This window comes from Homo sapiens, chromosome 14, assembly GCF_000001405.40.
Source record: "Homo sapiens chromosome 14, GRCh38.p14 Primary Assembly".
Lineage (NCBI taxonomy): Eukaryota > Metazoa > Chordata > Mammalia > Primates > Hominidae > Homo > Homo sapiens.
In genome coordinates this window covers 65,729,970-65,746,976 of record NC_000014.9, presented here as the reverse complement: position 1 = coordinate 65,746,976, position 17,007 = coordinate 65,729,970, and the positions used below count along the sequence as shown (strand labels likewise).

General features: G+C 36.5%; 1 protein-coding gene across 13 annotated transcripts in view, besides 1 other annotated feature; it reads right to left on the bottom strand.

The window, feature by feature from the left end:
* Positions 712 to 1,673: an enhancer, noted in NCBI's record as "NANOG hESC enhancer chr14:66212022-66212983 (GRCh37/hg19 assembly coordinates)". NCBI's record gives its function as "activates a minimal SCP1, AML or CMV promoter by ChIP-STARR-seq in primed H9 embryonic stem cells {active_cell/tissue: H9 hESC(primed)}" and the evidence as "EXISTENCE:reporter gene assay evidence [ECO:0000049][PMID:30033119]".
* Positions 2,856 to 17,007, bottom strand: part of FUT8 (fucosyltransferase 8) — a 387,280-nt gene continuing 373,128 nt past the window's right edge. For all 13 annotated transcript variants that reach the window (NR_038167.1, XM_047431179.1, XM_047431177.1 and 10 more), the window contains 2 exons: positions 13,596 to 13,746; positions 2,856 to 4,884 (listed from right to left, as the gene is read on the bottom strand). Coding sequence is in view for 12 of the 13 variants with exons in the window: in XM_047431179.1 (XP_047287135.1) it covers positions 4,567 to 4,884; positions 13,596 to 13,746 (469 nt within the window). In the remaining variant the exon portion in view is untranslated. The remainder of the gene's footprint in view (positions 4,885 to 13,595; positions 13,747 to 17,007) is intronic.

The window sequence follows — 17,007 nt, the reverse complement described above, 5'->3', positions numbered from 1 at the left end:
TCCAACCAATTCATTTCACTTATGAAGAAAACAAAGTTCTGAGAAAACCGTTTGGCCTGTCCCCATTTAATGACAATATCAAAATCAGAAGCCAGATATTCTGAATTTCAGTCAGTGATCTTCAATGAGAACTGTTGCTTTTTCCCTAAAGAACCCGAAATACAGGGATATTACGTGCTTGTAGGCACTATGAGGAGGAAAAACAAAACTGAAAACTAGGTCTTCTGTCCCTGCACTCACTATGTTCTATCTCCTTACTGGGCCAGAAATTCTTATGCAAATTAATAGGGAGGTAAGACTAGCCAGGAACTCAAAGCCCAAACTTTCCAAGGCCTGTGATCCTGGAACAGCTCTTCCATGTGTCCATGAGAGAGACTGGTGCTAGGAACCAGTAAGTATAGAGGCAAATTTTTTGTGCTCCTTTCTGAGCAGCACACTTTAAAAATTCCATACAGTCTGTATCTGACATAAATTAGGGTATTGTAGCCAAGTTGTCAATTTCACCAATCCTCAAGCCACATGTCTATTCTGTGCAGGTCTATGGAACCTAATGCACAGTCTCCTGAGAGCATAAATGAAGTATCGGGCAATTGGCTATGGCCAAAGGAGACTTGTCTTTTTCCCCTGAGAGATTTGCTCTCACTGAGGCAGAAGAGACTCTTCTAGATGCACCGTTTAGACCCCAACACTTTTCCTGCTCACCGAATACACAGTGACTGTATCCTCTCAGAACCAAATAATAATGACAATAATCATTGTATGAGGTAGCTTTTAAAATGTGCTTTTTTTTCTCTTTTAACTCTCAACTCCCTTAGAAGCTGGGGCTGTTCATCTTCTCAACTTTACAAAGAGGGAACCCAGTAAACAGGATTGCCTCTATATAACAACAACAACAAAAACCTAAAGCTTGAACAGAAAAGGAACTAGTCTCTTACTCATTTAGGTACAATGAAATCCTGGATTAGGGCTTTCACAACAGGCATGAATTCGTTAAGCGCCCAGCTGAGCACTAAATCAGACTTGAGTGGAAGAACTAGGAAAGCCTTGGTGAGATCTTTCGTAATTGCTTTGTCATTAATAAGCAGGATTTTGTTACCCACATTCAATGAGCCCACGATAATAATTTAATTCCAGGCAAGTCTCTCAGAAATAGGTCTTTCAACAAGGAAAAGACCCAAATCCTAACCTAGCACTGGCCACTCAATTCAAAATCATGCAGGATTTTTTAAGTACCAGGGCTTTATGGAGAAATTACAATAGTGGTAAGAAAAATGTCAGCCTTCTCAACACGGCAACATGTATTGAATGAATCACCATCATGTATGTGATGATTACAAAGGCGATTTAGAAAGATGTGGTCAACAGTATTCATTAGCCCTTCACAAGAGCAGGTTTAACAGTTTGGTTACTTCTTCATCTTCTTACGTAAGGCTACTGGCTACTTGGCTATTGAGGCCAAAGTCTCAACAGGGGTTTCACAAGACTAAACCTGTCCTCTCCCCTGCTGTTTTTTCATTTTAAGTTAATGGTGGAGTAAGCACCCACTGAACCAATATTCCAACGAATAACAACCATAAACTCTCAAAAAAATACAAAAAATACATGAGGGTAGGAGACAATAAAAACAGGCAAGTTCTGAAAAGAGATTGAAATTTTAAAGAAGGGAATGGCACAAGGTGAGTTTCCCATTGTACAGCTTTTGGGCTGAAAGAAAACTGCAGTTTTTCTGGTCTAAGAATCAGAGCAACCACAGCTGCTGGAAAATGAGGGGGGAAATCTCAGAAGAAAGAGAGCCAAAGAAAAAGCACCACAAATTCTGTGCATAAATTCTATCCATCTCTCTGGCTAAGCCCTGAACTATGTGCAGCATAGACTCCAGCTAACTGAATTGAGATTTTCAGCTGCTGCCCAAGAGAGTTTACAGTTTGAGTCCAATAAAGTTAAATGCCTGCTAACACAAGCAATATATATATATACACACACACATACACAATATATATATATTTGTGTGTGTATATATTTGTATATATATATTTGTGTGTCTATATATACACACAAATGTAATACACAAATGTTGTATATATATATTTTTGTGTATATGTATATTTATGTGTGTATATGTATATATCACAGCACTTTTCAGAGCAATATAACAGAATCTACAACATAAACATTACAATGTTCAGGACACAATCTAAATCACTCAATATATGAGGGACCTCCCCCCAAAATCTGACCATTCTGTAAAGAGGAACAATGGAGACCAATTCTAAGATTATCCAGATGTCAAATTTACCAGAAAAGAATTTTAAAGCATAATTTAAACTCATTGAACATAGTTATGTGTTCTCTACTGAGAACACATAATTTTTTTATTTATGTGTTCTCTACTGAGAACAAATAATTTTTTTATTCACTATATAGTTATGTTCAATGTTTTGTTCGGTTATGTTCATAGTTATGTTCATCTGTTATGTTCAAGGTTCATAGTTTTATTCACTACATAGTTATGTTCAATGAAAACATGCATGTAGTGAATAAAAAAATCTCAGTAGAGAAATATAAAGAATTAGGGAGAAATTCTAGAACCAAATGATAAAATGTCAAAAATTAACTCTTCAGTTGAAGACTCCCTTTGGGAAATACTCCTTAATTTATTTCCTTCGTATCTCTGTTCTTTGGTCCTTTCACCCCTGGAACTCGGTCAATTTAGAAGGAAAAGAGACTAACTTAATTTACCTTTGGATCTTCTATAAGGGCACAAATCAGATCCACAGTTACTGATGTTCCAATGACATGTGAGATGCGAGTTGCAAAATAACTCATAATCAAAATTACCTCCGCTCAGTTGGAGATTGTTTCAAATGACTTTTATTTGTACCAAAACTAAATGGAAAATTGCTTGCTGACACTGTAGGAAGTTAATTTCTTTTTTCTTTGGGAGGCTTGACTTGAGAAAAAGAATTTAGTTAAGTTTGGTGGTGAAATTTTATATACAGTATTTTCATTTGGTGAAGATATGAAGGCCAGGACTAATAGCTCTTCTGCCTAGGATCCCTAATATTTCACACTAGGCCTGATAGTCGCTCCTACAGAGATGACATTTTTCTTTTAGAATGCAGTAACACCTACCAGGCCTCTGTAGGAGGCAGGCTACATACAATAAGGAAGTGTTTTTATGAGGAGAAAAATGATGCTCAGAGACAAAGCATCAAAGTCTTATTTTCTGAAGTGATTCTAACATGGAAGAATTTGGAAAAGATAATCCCAAGACTCAGTCCATTGTGAGTCTCCCATTGGTCCCGCTTCTCACTTGGTCACCAAGTTCTGCACACTATGAGACATATACTTCTGAAACAGCCAGCTTCCCAATCCCAAAGATACCTGGTACTCTCAAAAGCAGGGCATGATAGGCTAGGGCAGAAATTGGTTCCTGGATAAAACAGGACCCTACTCACAAAAAGCGATAATAAATACATTAAGAAAGACTACCAAACAAACCTGAAATGGTTTTAGAAATGGAGGTGATAGCTTCTCTGGGAGCAAGGAGTTATGATTATTTCACTCAATTAAAACAATGTCCAAAATATGAGAATGAAAGCTCCCAAACAGTGTTCTTAGCAATTTTGTAATGTGTACCAATGAAAATTGGTTTTCAGTATTAAAATGGACCAATGTCTCTGAGTTAAGAATTAGTTACTATATCAGAAACAGGAAAAAAAACAAAGTAAATAAGCTGAAAAACTAAAAAGCTCCTCTTTTTATCACAGTTCTTCCACATAAGGCTGATCAACATATCATCCAATGATATAAAATTCTAGAAACTTTACAAAATTCCTTTTTAAAATTTATTTTTTGTTATCAAAGAGAATGTCCAGAAACATTGAGTACTAAAGAATTTGTTCATGGCATTGTTTTACAAAATTTTCTAATGGAGAGTGAATATTTTATTTTCTGATGTATTCTTCACTTATTAATGATGAGGTCAATGAACTGATGCAATTATTTAAAAAAAAAAAAACAGACAACCTTATAAAGGAAAAAACAAAAACAAAAACAAAAAAAAACCAAACGTCCATTCTCATTCTGAATCTGTTGACTGGAGTGAATTCAGTGGTCACAATACCACCATCAAATAAGAATCAACTTCCTCAGAGTAAGGAGCTGTTCCGATCTTCTCAATAGTTCACACAGGTCTCTCAGATATAGGCACCATGTTTTAAGTCTCACACAAAATGTCTGTGTCACTTAAATTACACAATATGGCAGTGTTTGTCTTATGGGGACATACTGAAAGGGGCAAAGTAGAAAACAACCTGTTTGCATGTTATATGTGAGTACATTATTGTACTGTGCATGGGTATGAGGGCATTGCAGCCCTTGTTAAAGAGGAATTCCACCAATTGAAGCCTATGTCAGTTCCCAGCTGCTCTTGGTGCTGAGAGTATCTACTCATATAACCTTATTTTGTTAGATCAGAGCCCTCTTCATCTACAGTTTGGCTGAAATGGTTTGAACTGAGTTTGGTCGAACTGAGTTTGGTCGTTTATCTCTTCCATCTGAGCTTTATTTCTCAGCCTCAGGATATGTGGGGTACTTGACCGTTTCTATCTTCTCTCGAACTTTGTAGGAGGGATATAGGCCCGTCCTTCCCAATTTCCTGTTGACACCTTTAGAATAGCCATCCCAATGATTTCCAGCCACACCAATGATATCTCCAGGTTCCATGGGAATTTCATCTGCAGTTCGGGGTTGGTGAGCATAAATGGCAATTTGATTGTGGGCATTCTGGCCCCCAAAATAGTAGATGTCATCTAAAGAATGGAAGTTTGCAGAGGCATCAGGATGTAGTGTTTGCATAATTTCATAAGCAACTCGACAGACCTTGGGAAAGAATTTAAAAGAAATTGTTAGTATATAAACACTCTCCTTCACAGCAATCTAAAAGCCCTTGGCCAAAAGGATGGGCTCTAGGAGTAAGAGGTTGAAAAGTAGTGGATTCTAGTCACAAGCTTTCAGTCCATTTGTTCTCAGAAGATGGTACAAGTCATTCTTCATCTCTGTGTCTGGATCCTTTTTCAAATAAAGAAGAAAAACTCACGAAAGATTATTACAATTAAAATCTCTCTATCTCTATATAGTACAAAAGAATTTAAGAATATGAATTAGTTAATTTTAACAAACATTTATTAAGAGCTACATACACAGTGGTCCAAGCTAGGCACTCATGATACCAAAATGAGTAAGACATAGTTTGTGCCCTTAAAGAATTTGAAGTTTAGGATTAGGATAAAAAAACTTAACACAAATAAATGCTGATGGTCCCTTTCCTTCATACACTGTTAATCAATCACACATTCTCATCTGCTAATTTATAACTTGGTGTCAGAACTGTTTTCTTTTTTTTTAAATTATACTTTAAGTTTTAGGGTACACGTGCACAACGTGCAGGTTAGTTACATATGTATACATGTGCCATGTTGGTGTGCTGCACCCAGTAACTCGTCATTTAACATTAGGTATATCTCCAAATGCTATCCCTCCCCGCTCCCAGAACTGTTTTCAAGAGAGATTCATGTAATTACTGACAATCAACAAGCACTGGCAAGTGAGCTAAAACACATCGGCAATTTCTGTTCTAAAAAGTTTTAAGTGTGCTGTGTAGAGAGTGGCATGCTTGGATGACATAAACTGGGCAAGCCTTTGAGGAAATGCATCACCCTGATTACTATAGTTTTAAGGCTACTTAAAAGGTCCCTATGTCCAAAGAATACCCTCTCTGCTCACTGGATAGCAGGTGAAATTCCACAATCTGAGCTTCAATCCTTGAGGTTAATGCTTAGTAATAAAGTTAAACTAAACTATCACCCAATTTAAGCAATTTATACATTGTGAAAAGAGAACAATGCAACTCAGATGAAATTTTCCTAAATCTCCAGTTATGGTAATCTTAGTTAATGCTTTATTGTCACTATACCAATAGTTTTGCATGTATTTAAAATGACGCTACTCATAGTAATTGCTTATCTGCTCAGTGGAGCAATTTAGGACTACCCGGCAGTCTTTTAAAACCTTGGCATTTATGAAGATTAAAAACTTGAATGGTGATATGGTTTAGATTTGTGTTACCTGCCCAAATCTCATGGTGAACTGTAATCCCCAATGTTGGAGATGGGGCCTGGTGGGAGGTGATTGGATCATGGGGGCGGTTTCTCATGGTTAAAACCATCACCCCTTGATGCTGTGGTCACAGTAGTGAGTTCTCGTGAGATCTGATTGTTTAAAAATATGTGGCACCTCCCAATTCTCTTCCTCCTGCTCCAGTCATGTGAAGTGCTGGCTCCCCGTTTGCCTTCTGCCATGATTGTAAGTTGCCTGAGACCTCCCCAGCATCATGCTTCCTGTATAGCCTGCAGAACCATGAGCCAGTTAAACCTCTTTTCTTTATAAATTGCCCAGTCTCAGGTATTTCTTTTTAGCAATGCGAAAACAGACTAATACAAATGGAGATGCCTATTCTTAACTCTTATCAAATAAAATCTGACTAGGTTAATCATCACCTCAACTTAGAGAATCTGAATTTCAGAAAACTTGAGGGGCAATTCTCAAATGCTATATATAATTTGCAAATGAAACTACATTTGCCCCAATATTTTTAATTTTGCAGATAGGCAACTAAAACACAAGGAGATTAAGTGATTTATGCAAATTTTAGTGATAGAATTTCAACTAGATATAGAACCAAAATAATAGAAACCTTGCTTTCAGATTTATTAGTTCAACAACGATTATATTGGCAATGTCATTTTACAATTGAGATCATTGGTAGAATACCGAGACTATAATAAAATAGGGATCAAAAAGATTTGGAACTTTTGAATTTCAAATTCAGCCAAAGGCTCATAGAAGGCAAGCAAAATTAAGTGGGACTCAGGAAAAGAAGAAACTAAATAATTAAAGCAGCTCCAATAATAGCAAACTACAATAACAATGACAGAGGCTAATATTTACTGAGCTTTTGCTAACTGTCAGACATTGTTTTTAGACATTATCTAATGTAATTAGATTCCTTTCAGCATCCCCATAAAATTCTATCATTATGTTTGTTTTACAAATGTCAAAGGGAAGTTAAGGCATTGCTCAAGGTTATACTAATAAGTGGTAAATTCAGGTTGGAACCCAGGCAGTCTGCATATGCTTGAAACTGCTATATATATTTTCTCTTGTAAATCTTATTCTCCATGTTCATATTGTAACACCAGAAAGATATAGCATAAGACCAAAGACAGTCTTGGGTAAACCTGACAGTCTTCTTTTCAGGGTGTCTTCACCCACTCTTCAGTCATCCCTAGCCAGGAATGCAGGACCTTGTGTTACTCTTAGGATGACCACAATCTCTACTGTGACAATGAACCGTGATGTGTTTCCTCCTCTCCACTCTTAAACGTCTTACTCTCATAAAAACAACATCGCACCCTGTCCCACACCCTTAGAGACCTGTTTCTTCTGGGGATAATCCTAATAATTAGTGTATGTTTTGCTATCAAGAGTTGTTCATGTGTTAACCTTGGTGGATAACAGAACTGTTTTCTTAAACCAAAGAAATAACTATTATAATAATAGTAGAGATTTCAGACACTGAGGTGGCCCATTATAAAAATGACAAATGTGACTGTAGGCCTCTGCAAGCATACCAGTGCTACACAGGTGTGGCCCTTTATTTTTCTCATAAGAATGACCATTAAAGATAGCAGCTGAACTTAATGAGCACCGATTATGTCCCAGGCAGTGTTATAATAGTGTGCTCTTCCCTCACCTTGTCTCAACTCATTTAACTATTATGACAAACCTGTGAGGTACTATTATTATTCATATTTTACAGATGAAGAAGCTAAGCCACAGAAAGATTAAGTAAATTTCAAAAAATAAAAATAAAAATCCAAAAAGGAACTAGTTAATGGCAGAGCCACAGTCAGAACTCTTTCAGGCTCTTGAGTATATATTCCCTTAGGATAAACACCTAGAACAATGCCTGCCACAAAGTACGTGCTCAATAAGTATCTGTTGAATGAATATTGCTCCAGGCATAATACCAGCCCAGTAATGGAGACACAAGTCCATGGGTGATATTTAACCCTTAAGATCCATATATAACATTAAGAGGAAGTAATTTTAAAACTGTCTATATCAACCATGGGACAATTTACTGCAAAAGGCTAAAAAGATTACTATAGTGTTAATGTTCGCATTTAGTCACTCTATGCTTCCTCTCTTCTTTCCTTACCTACCACGTGGTTTAAAAGTTCAAATCACATGGCAGGTAAATGAAGGCTTGCAGCTGACGTCCATACTCAGGTTTGATGCTTGACAGGTGGCATGACTGAGAGCAGTCCATGGTTTGCAAAGCAGTGGTTGGCTACATGTAGTATGTTTAACTTTATTCTGTGTTGACATGGCACTGTATCATTTTTAGTACATCGTAAAGCACACAGTAATGGGTAACAGCAAAAATCCTGCCAAAGGATAAAACAGATATGACTGTATTAAAAAAAATTTTAAAAAGGGGGAGGAATCCATTAGTCTGAATTTCATCCCTTAGAAGTAGCCTGAGTTTACATAAGCCTCCAAAGCTTTCTCAGAGTAGATGGGATCTTATTTTTGTCAAAATAGATAGATAGGGGCAGGAGGATATCCTAGTGTGAGAAGTTGGAAGTGGCTGAGAGATCTGTGCACTTTTCCTGTAATCTGCTTTGTTTTACTATACAATAAGAGAATAAGACCCAGGTCTTTTCTTTGTTGTGAGAAACACCAGAAGGATTAATGCAGTAACAGCTGCACTGTACAGCACTCAGCATTGTAAGCTAGATAGAGCCTCTGTGGATGCAAATACTTTTCTTGTCTTCTGCTCTGGGAAGTAATCACAGAGTTCACACCTTGGGATTTCACCCTGTGCTTTCCTCCATGGTACTCTCAACAGGTATCCACTGTTGTTTCATGAGCCACATCTCAATGGAAATTCCTGTCCAGAGCCATCTGTCTGGAATAGTTAACGTAGTTTTTGGTTTTGCCCTCTGGGCTTCCAAAATCTGATTCAAAGTGTAATAAGGGGAGTAGAATTGCGTGCGGATTTGGAATTAGACCAAGAGAGGCTCATGAGAGTATTGTAATAACTGCCATAAAGGGAGGTGTCATAGGGGGAAAAAAAGGATTTTGTATTATGATAACTTTTAATGGCTGAAACTACAGAGTAACATTAACTGCTCTTTAAACAATGTCTTTAACAATGTTAGTCTTTAAAGTGAGCATCTGCAACCATTTTTTAAGTCAGATTTCAGAAAAATAAAAATTGATCCCAGAACCTGATAAGCAATATTTTCAGAAAACCTTTCTGATACTGTGCCTATCTACAACTGGGCTGTCAACTGCTGTTATTCTCCAACTATAAATTCTTTGCTTTAGATTTAAGATTCAAATAAGAAAATAGGTGACAAAGGAGATGCTTTGCACATAGGCGATTTCCAGTAACACAGAATAGGATTAATGTATTTGGTAGAACGTTTTAGAATGTAGTTGCATAGCTTTCAAAATTCACTTGACGTACTTGAAAAAAATGCTAATATTGCCTCCAATTTTCATATTAAATCCTGAGGACTGTGCTATTCAATTTATGAGGCTTTTAGGACAAACTTGGCTTTGAGAAACAGATCTGATGAAAGTTAACAGCAATAATAGTAACAAAATTAGAGAGCAGAGCCACAGTGTTGGCTTTTAAAACCTTTTCATTGAAGAAGAGAGAATTCCCAGACCTCACTTATGGATATAAAACCAAGAAAGATGAGAAGTCCTGAGACTGAGGGAGATAGGTCTAAAAATTTATGAGAAATCCCGATTAAGGTCCCATGACATTTTTGCCTGCAGTTTTCCAAACATCTAGCCTTGTATTTTTCCTTCTAGCATGGCATTTCATTCCTGCAGTATTGTCTACAATAGCTCATGGTCAACAGGTCAACTCTTTCTCACTATTGTTATATGGTATAAAATTCCTGAAAGGATAGTGTATAGGAGACAGAAAGTTTACATGAATAAAACTTAAAGATTGTCAAAGAATTATGAAGGAGATATTAAACTTGGATCACTTCCTAACATCTCTTGGCACATGAAATTATCATCTAAGAAAGTTGAGAGTTGGTTATCCATGTTTTTATTCTGGGCTGAACTTATTCTCAGTGTTTATCTTCTGTCACTCTTCTGGATGTATGGCTTTAGTCTTCCTCCATTTTCTAGAATGCTTATGACATATATAGGAAAGTCTGAAGATTAATTTCACTAAAGTCAACACACACACATTTACTTCAAATACTAAGTCTTCACTCACCTTTTGGGAATGAAGAACTTTTGTTTCTGAAAAATCGCATCATATGGCAATATTCTCTTTCAATAAGCTAAACAAAATGAAGTTGAGGTGGTACATTGGCCCAGAGAAATTGTACATGCTGAATGTTAACAGTTCCTCTTCTTTACGGACCCTAAGCATTACCCGTAACCACAAGCAGAGCTAATGGAGGCCTTGACTAGCTCGTTTCATGCTCCTTCTAAAATGTGAGCGCATACAGTCTGAAATGAAGCCATGTGAAAAAGAGCTGCAAAATAAATACTATAGAGTGTCTCTAACAGGCAGAGATATTCCTATAACTATTCATATATATAATAATAGCAGCTAATGTGTTTAACACTGTATTGCTAGGTACTATTCGCAGTGCTTTACTTTTCATAACTCCTTAATCCTCAAAAAGACTCTATACTATAGGTACTATTATTTTTTCACATGTAGAAAAATAAACCAGTTAAGAAATAGGCTAAGCAATTTGTTCAAGGACACACAGCCAGTAATTGGTCAAAGTTGGATGCAAATACAGATATCCTGACTCTACAGCACAGGTTGCCTCTTTCTTGTTCTGTGATCAGTGGTCAATGGTTTGGCATTTTATCCCATCAGTGACTTTTTCTCACGCTCTATTGGCAATGATGGCAAGATATTTCTAGGGCATTTTCAAACAATTCCAATTTTGGTTTATGTAAAGGAATCTACATAATAATCCTGCAAACAATTTCATTCACACTACAAAAACATTAAACTTTACTAAATACTTCTTTACTAAAAATATTTGAGAAAAATAATGAGGTGCAAGTAAGCTCAAAGATTTATCACTGAATATGGAATTACTCTACAATTTCAAATGCTACAGCGGTTAGTCATCAAATAAGGTACATGATAAGGAGGTAATCACATTAGGCAAACTGCTACTCACTATATAAATGTAAGGTATTTCTACTGTTAAACTTTTATTGTGAATCCTAACATAAAATATTTTGAGGTATTCAAGTCTATTTTGGGTTATGAAATACTGTTTTAATTTTGCTTAGGTTCAAATGAGTGAAATTATTTTGGGCAAACTTTGACTGCCAGGAGTTTTTAGGAACAATGTGAAATATAAGTATGAGCCTTATTCCTTTGGATACAGAAAGTCTTCTCAGCACCACTCTTTCTTCATATGAATTGCTTCTCTGGACCCAAGTTCTGAATACACTGAAGTTGACATTATGCATAAAACCAAACAAAGTAATAGAACAATATTCTCCTCAAGCCTAGACAGAATTCTACCATCATGAAGTGACAGAGATCCTGATTTGTAGGTCAAAATTGGAGTTATGAGGATCCAAAATTCTAAAGTACAACTTCAAAAAGGAAAAAAAAAATAGTAAAGCAAAAAATTTTCTTTCTATTCCAGAATAAGCCTAATGGTATTACTAAGGAGGATTGGGAGAAGAAAAGCAAAACATGAGTACAACCCTGTAAGTCTCAGTGCCTACCTACATGTGAGGTTGGTAAACATTTAGACATGTGTATGTTTATTTAACTTTAGAATCTTGTGACTAGAACTGTAGTTCTCAACCAGGGCAATTTTGCTCCACAGGGGCATCTGGCATCTGGCAATGTCTGGAGACATCTTTGGTTGTCACAATTTTAAGTGAGGGTCTTACTGGCCAGGGATGCTGCTAAATATCCTACATGCAGAATACGGCTCCTCACAACAAAGAATTCTCTGGTCTAAAATAGTGCTTTGGTTGAGAAACCTGGACTAGAGGAGTTGACTTCAGGCAGGCCTAAAATCCAGGCCTACAGAGAAGGTGGCATAGCTGGGGAAGTGACTCTTGATTCACTCATTGTAACAATAAGCATCAAGAATGTTTGGAGGTTGTTACCAGTTACATGTACCTGTTGATCAGGCAGATGCATAGTCAGACTCTCAAAAACAGTTGCAAGGAACCAAGTAGTTATAAACCTTGCCCCTTTCTTGCAATAAGAATGGAAATGAGTTTCTTAAAGATAGGATCCACACCCCAATTAGGGAGAAACATAAATAGTGGATGCCTTCATGGGAACTTGAAGACATTTTCCCTTCTGATTAAGATTGCTGCTACGTGTTCTGTGCAGCTATCTTTGGGTAGTAAGTTGTATTCTTATTCCATATTAAAGGAATCTGTAACCTTTGCCTGGCAAGGTATCTTTCCAAAAATCATATCGCCATCCCATCATGACAATGTGTATTGTCATATAATAAGAAAGTCTCCATTTCCTTTTACTCTCCGAAGTATACTCTTGTAAAAATGATGTGGCTTTCCTTTTTTTCACATTTTCTTTTCTCCGCTTCTTCTCAGCATTTAAGCATACATTTATCTTATACCAATTTATATGTTCTGGTAATTATTCTCTAGTTATTTCATGTGTGTATTTTGCTTATTAGATTCTGGACCAGGGCAAGAACTGTATCTTCAATCTCCTTTGAAATCTCCTCTGCACCTAGTATAATTTTGAGTGCATTTAACAGCTGGTTGAATGAACTAACCAATAATATGTGCATAAACGAGAGAACAGAATAAAATCCACAATAAATATTGTTATCCTGATATTCCACAGGGCATACAAAGCTGGCTGGACCCTCATAAAAACACATACACCAAACCCATAAAATATAATCATCTGCAACAATTAAATTCAAACAAAGATTGTGATATTATATTGCTTAAATTTAACATACAGTTTCTCACTTGGTAGAAATGTAATAGAACTTGAAAGGGAATTACATTTACTCTCTTTTCTATAAAGCAATCAACTGAGGCAAAATTTAGGGCATTTAAGCCTCTCAGTATCAGTGCGATGATGTGTAGAAATGGATGGATTCTGGTTACATATTGACTATATGCAAAATTAGAAAGTATTAAGTAAGCTTAATTACTTGTTGTTTCTGTTAAATGCTGTGAACAAGCCAAGTACTTTAAACAACTCCAGTAACTGGCTTCAGTGGAGATGTAGTCAACCATTACTTGCAAACAACTAAATATTAGTGCATGTGAATGGCTATGTTATGGGATCTTTCCATTCTTTCACAAAAGGGATCATTACTGAGTATCAGAAAAATTGCACCTGAGTCACAATAATGAACATTAACAACACATAGACACACAAATAATTTTTCTGACTCCTATACAACCAAAAAGTATTGGTTATTTTAAAATGCCCTACTGACACTTACCTGGGATGAAAAAGTACACACTAGGAAGTCTGCCTGAGAGAGAAAATGTATATCCAGGATCACTCCACGAAGTGAATTTTCTGTGTATCGATTGTGCAGTCCAGCTGACCAGGAAATAGAGTTATCACTAATAAATTCATAATTGGGGTACCTGAAAAAATAAATTAATTTATAGATGGTCATAGATATCACAGTATCCTATCAGAAGGCAGACTTTCTCCTTTGACTAAGAGCTTCTCACAGAAAGGAGACCTTTAATTATGGCATTTAATACTGTAGTTGATGAGACATATTTGAAGTCCATCAGTGGGGCAGAAACCATTCTGGAATGCCCTGTATATTAAATTTTATTGGCATATCATATAAAACACACATACACACATCAAAATGTCCTTTATCAATTCATGAAATAGCTGAAAATTGAAGTCTCCTTTTTCCTTTTGTAATGAGTGACTTTTAAGAGTTTATTCAAACTGCTTTCATATTTGGTCACTGAGCTTTTCCTTTAGAATACAAATACTGTGATAAAACCTCATTAAAATTTTTAATTTAGAATTTCTGATAATTCAGATTTGGGTTAGACTTTGTAAATGTCTTCTTCATTGACATTACAAGTTAATAATAAAAAGAAGTTAAGAGATGAATATTTTAAAAATTTGTGAGAACTAACAGTCTCCCTTAACCTGCATCCTTCTTGAAGAACCATCTACTCTTACCTAATAACAGTAATAGAAAGCCCATTCTAATATTTATGGAAGCAAATTCCATAGATGTCCACCAAGTAATATTTTGGTAGTCTTGCTAGAGATAGTGTGTGTTTAAAAGTATTCATACAGGATGTCTTTTGAAAAGAATCTGGAATATAATAGAGGAGGAATAAATATTTGCTGAAGGAATAATAGTTCTTATATAGAAACCCTGAAGCATCAGGAGTCAGTTTACATGTTTGTCTTCCAAACAGTATTCCAAAAAAGGTTAGGACCATGACTTATTTTTCTTTGCATCACAGCATCTAGCACTCCACACAATGCTGAGTGAATAAATACATGAACAAGTCAGTGCTACCTATGCCTGGGACTTTCCCTAATCCCCTAAGAGCTGTTTCAGTTTCTCTTCATTTCATGGCCACCAAGGAGCTTTCCCTCATTGCCTCTGTAATAATGATTGTAAAGGCAAAGTCTCTGAGCACTGTTTCAGACTGCTATTCAGTGTTCAAATCCATCTGGCCTCATTATTTTTGACAGTTTGCCTTCTTCAGCTCAAAATCAAGGAGATGAAGAAAATGTCACATTTGTTCGGAAAAGAAAACAACCAGAAATAGTTTTAATGTGATTCTTGGGAAGCTGCATACCCAGGCATGGAGCAGAAACAACAACAAAGAAATACGAAATGCTAGAGGGAGAAAGAAAGGGGGGAACTGATAAAACCAGCATAGGTTTTATCCTTGAATAAAGACTAACTTTGTCAGCATGATTTGGATGCTCAGTGAAACAAAGGAGTGATCAATTTACCAAGAAGTAACACTAACATTAATGGCCTTCCTAACTAAAAGAGCCCTCTCTGGAACCAAATCAAAAGGGTACCTAAGGCTGGGTGCGGTGGCTCATCCCTATAATCCCAGCACTTTGGGAGGCTGAGGCAGGCAGACTGCTTGAGCTCAAGAGTTCGAGACCAGCCTGGGCAACACAGTGAAACCCTACCATTATTTTTTTAAAAAAAGGTACCTAAGTTCCTCAGGCCCATCTCTACATGCAAAAGAGCTCTCAGGCCTATCTCTATGGCTTCATAAAGGATACCTAAGTGTAAAACAAAACAAAACACACACAAACAAAACAAAGTAAATAATGGAAGAAGGAAATTGTACACCTTTCATAATGAGCATGAAACTTTTTGCACAAACATGCTTCTTGTCTTTTGCCCTCAAGTATGTCAGTGGAGGAATTCTTCTACCTTGAGGTTTCAGATACTGGGAATAATAATTTTTTTTTCCACTTTATAAAAATTTATTTTTATATCATCCACAAAGGACTAGCTTGCAGTTATAAACTAATATCTGGTGTTCTTTTCTGAAGTCCTTCTCTTGACTGAGGGAGATACTTCTCTTTGTGACTTCACTGTACCTGGTACATAAACTCCTTCAGGAGACGTATCTAAATTTACTGTAATATGTGTTACATGTATATTGTCTACCTGTTGGTTACTCCCTGAGATAAGGAGCCACACATTATATTTTGACTTTGTATTCCTAGTGCTCTGTGCTGTGTCCAGCATATTATAGGAGTTCAATAAAATAGTGAACAAATACACCACTCATTGCTGATTCTTTGTTTCACAGGGCAACCAAATACTTTACAAAAAACTTTTAACAAATTGTTCTTGTCTCTATTCATTTCAATGTACCTACTTTTAGAAAGAACTCATTCAGCATTTTAAAAATAAAGAATAAACTCAATTTGTAAATATTTTACCTGGGAAACTTTTAAAGACTTGTTTTTCTTCCTATTTTAACCCCATCCCTAATCTCCACAATCTTAGAATGCAATGTTGGATAGCCAACTTTAATAGTTCTTATTTCTTTGACTGTCAATGATTCTGTGATTCAAACACTGTAATACTGAACTACTTAAGAGATCGCCACAATAGCAATGGCTGCCACAGTCACTGGGATGCTGGTGGTAAAATCTTGTGGATGAACTCAATTTTTTTTTTTGAGATTGAGTCTCGCTCTGTCGCCCAGGCTGGAGTGCAGTGGTGCGATCTTGGCTCACTGCAACCTCCGCCTCCCGGGTTCACATCATCTCCTGCCTCAGCCTCCTGAGTGGCTGGGACCACAGGCGCCCACCACCATAAACAGCTAATTTTTTGTATTTTTAGTAGAGACAGGGTTTTACCATGTTAGCCAGGATGGTCTCAATCTCCTGACCTAGTGATCCGCCCACCTCGGCCTCCCAAAGTGCTGGGATTACAATCGTGAGCCACTGCGTCCGGTCGGACTCAATCTTAACATGCAGAAATCTGAAGTGCAATACCAAGCCACAAAGCATTAACCAATCATCTTCACACAGAAGCTATGTGTATAAAGCTAATTTTAACCCCTTTTCAAAGAATGAGCAACACAGAAAATAGATTCTCCTCTGACTGTGTCAACACTATACCTCTGACTGTGTGAACACTATACATCATTTAAGTTTAATTTTTCATCTCTTCACCCTCTTGAAGCAGAAAAGTCTTACAATGATTACCTTGGATACTATATACTTTGATAATAGATTAATTCATGCTTTTGGTCTCTTAAAACAATGGCAGAGATTTTTATGATTTGCTTAGGTATCAAAACCAATCCTGAGTATTTTAAAGCAGAATTAAATCAGAGTAGAAAAACATTTCAGTAAAAGAGTAAAGAAAAAAAACC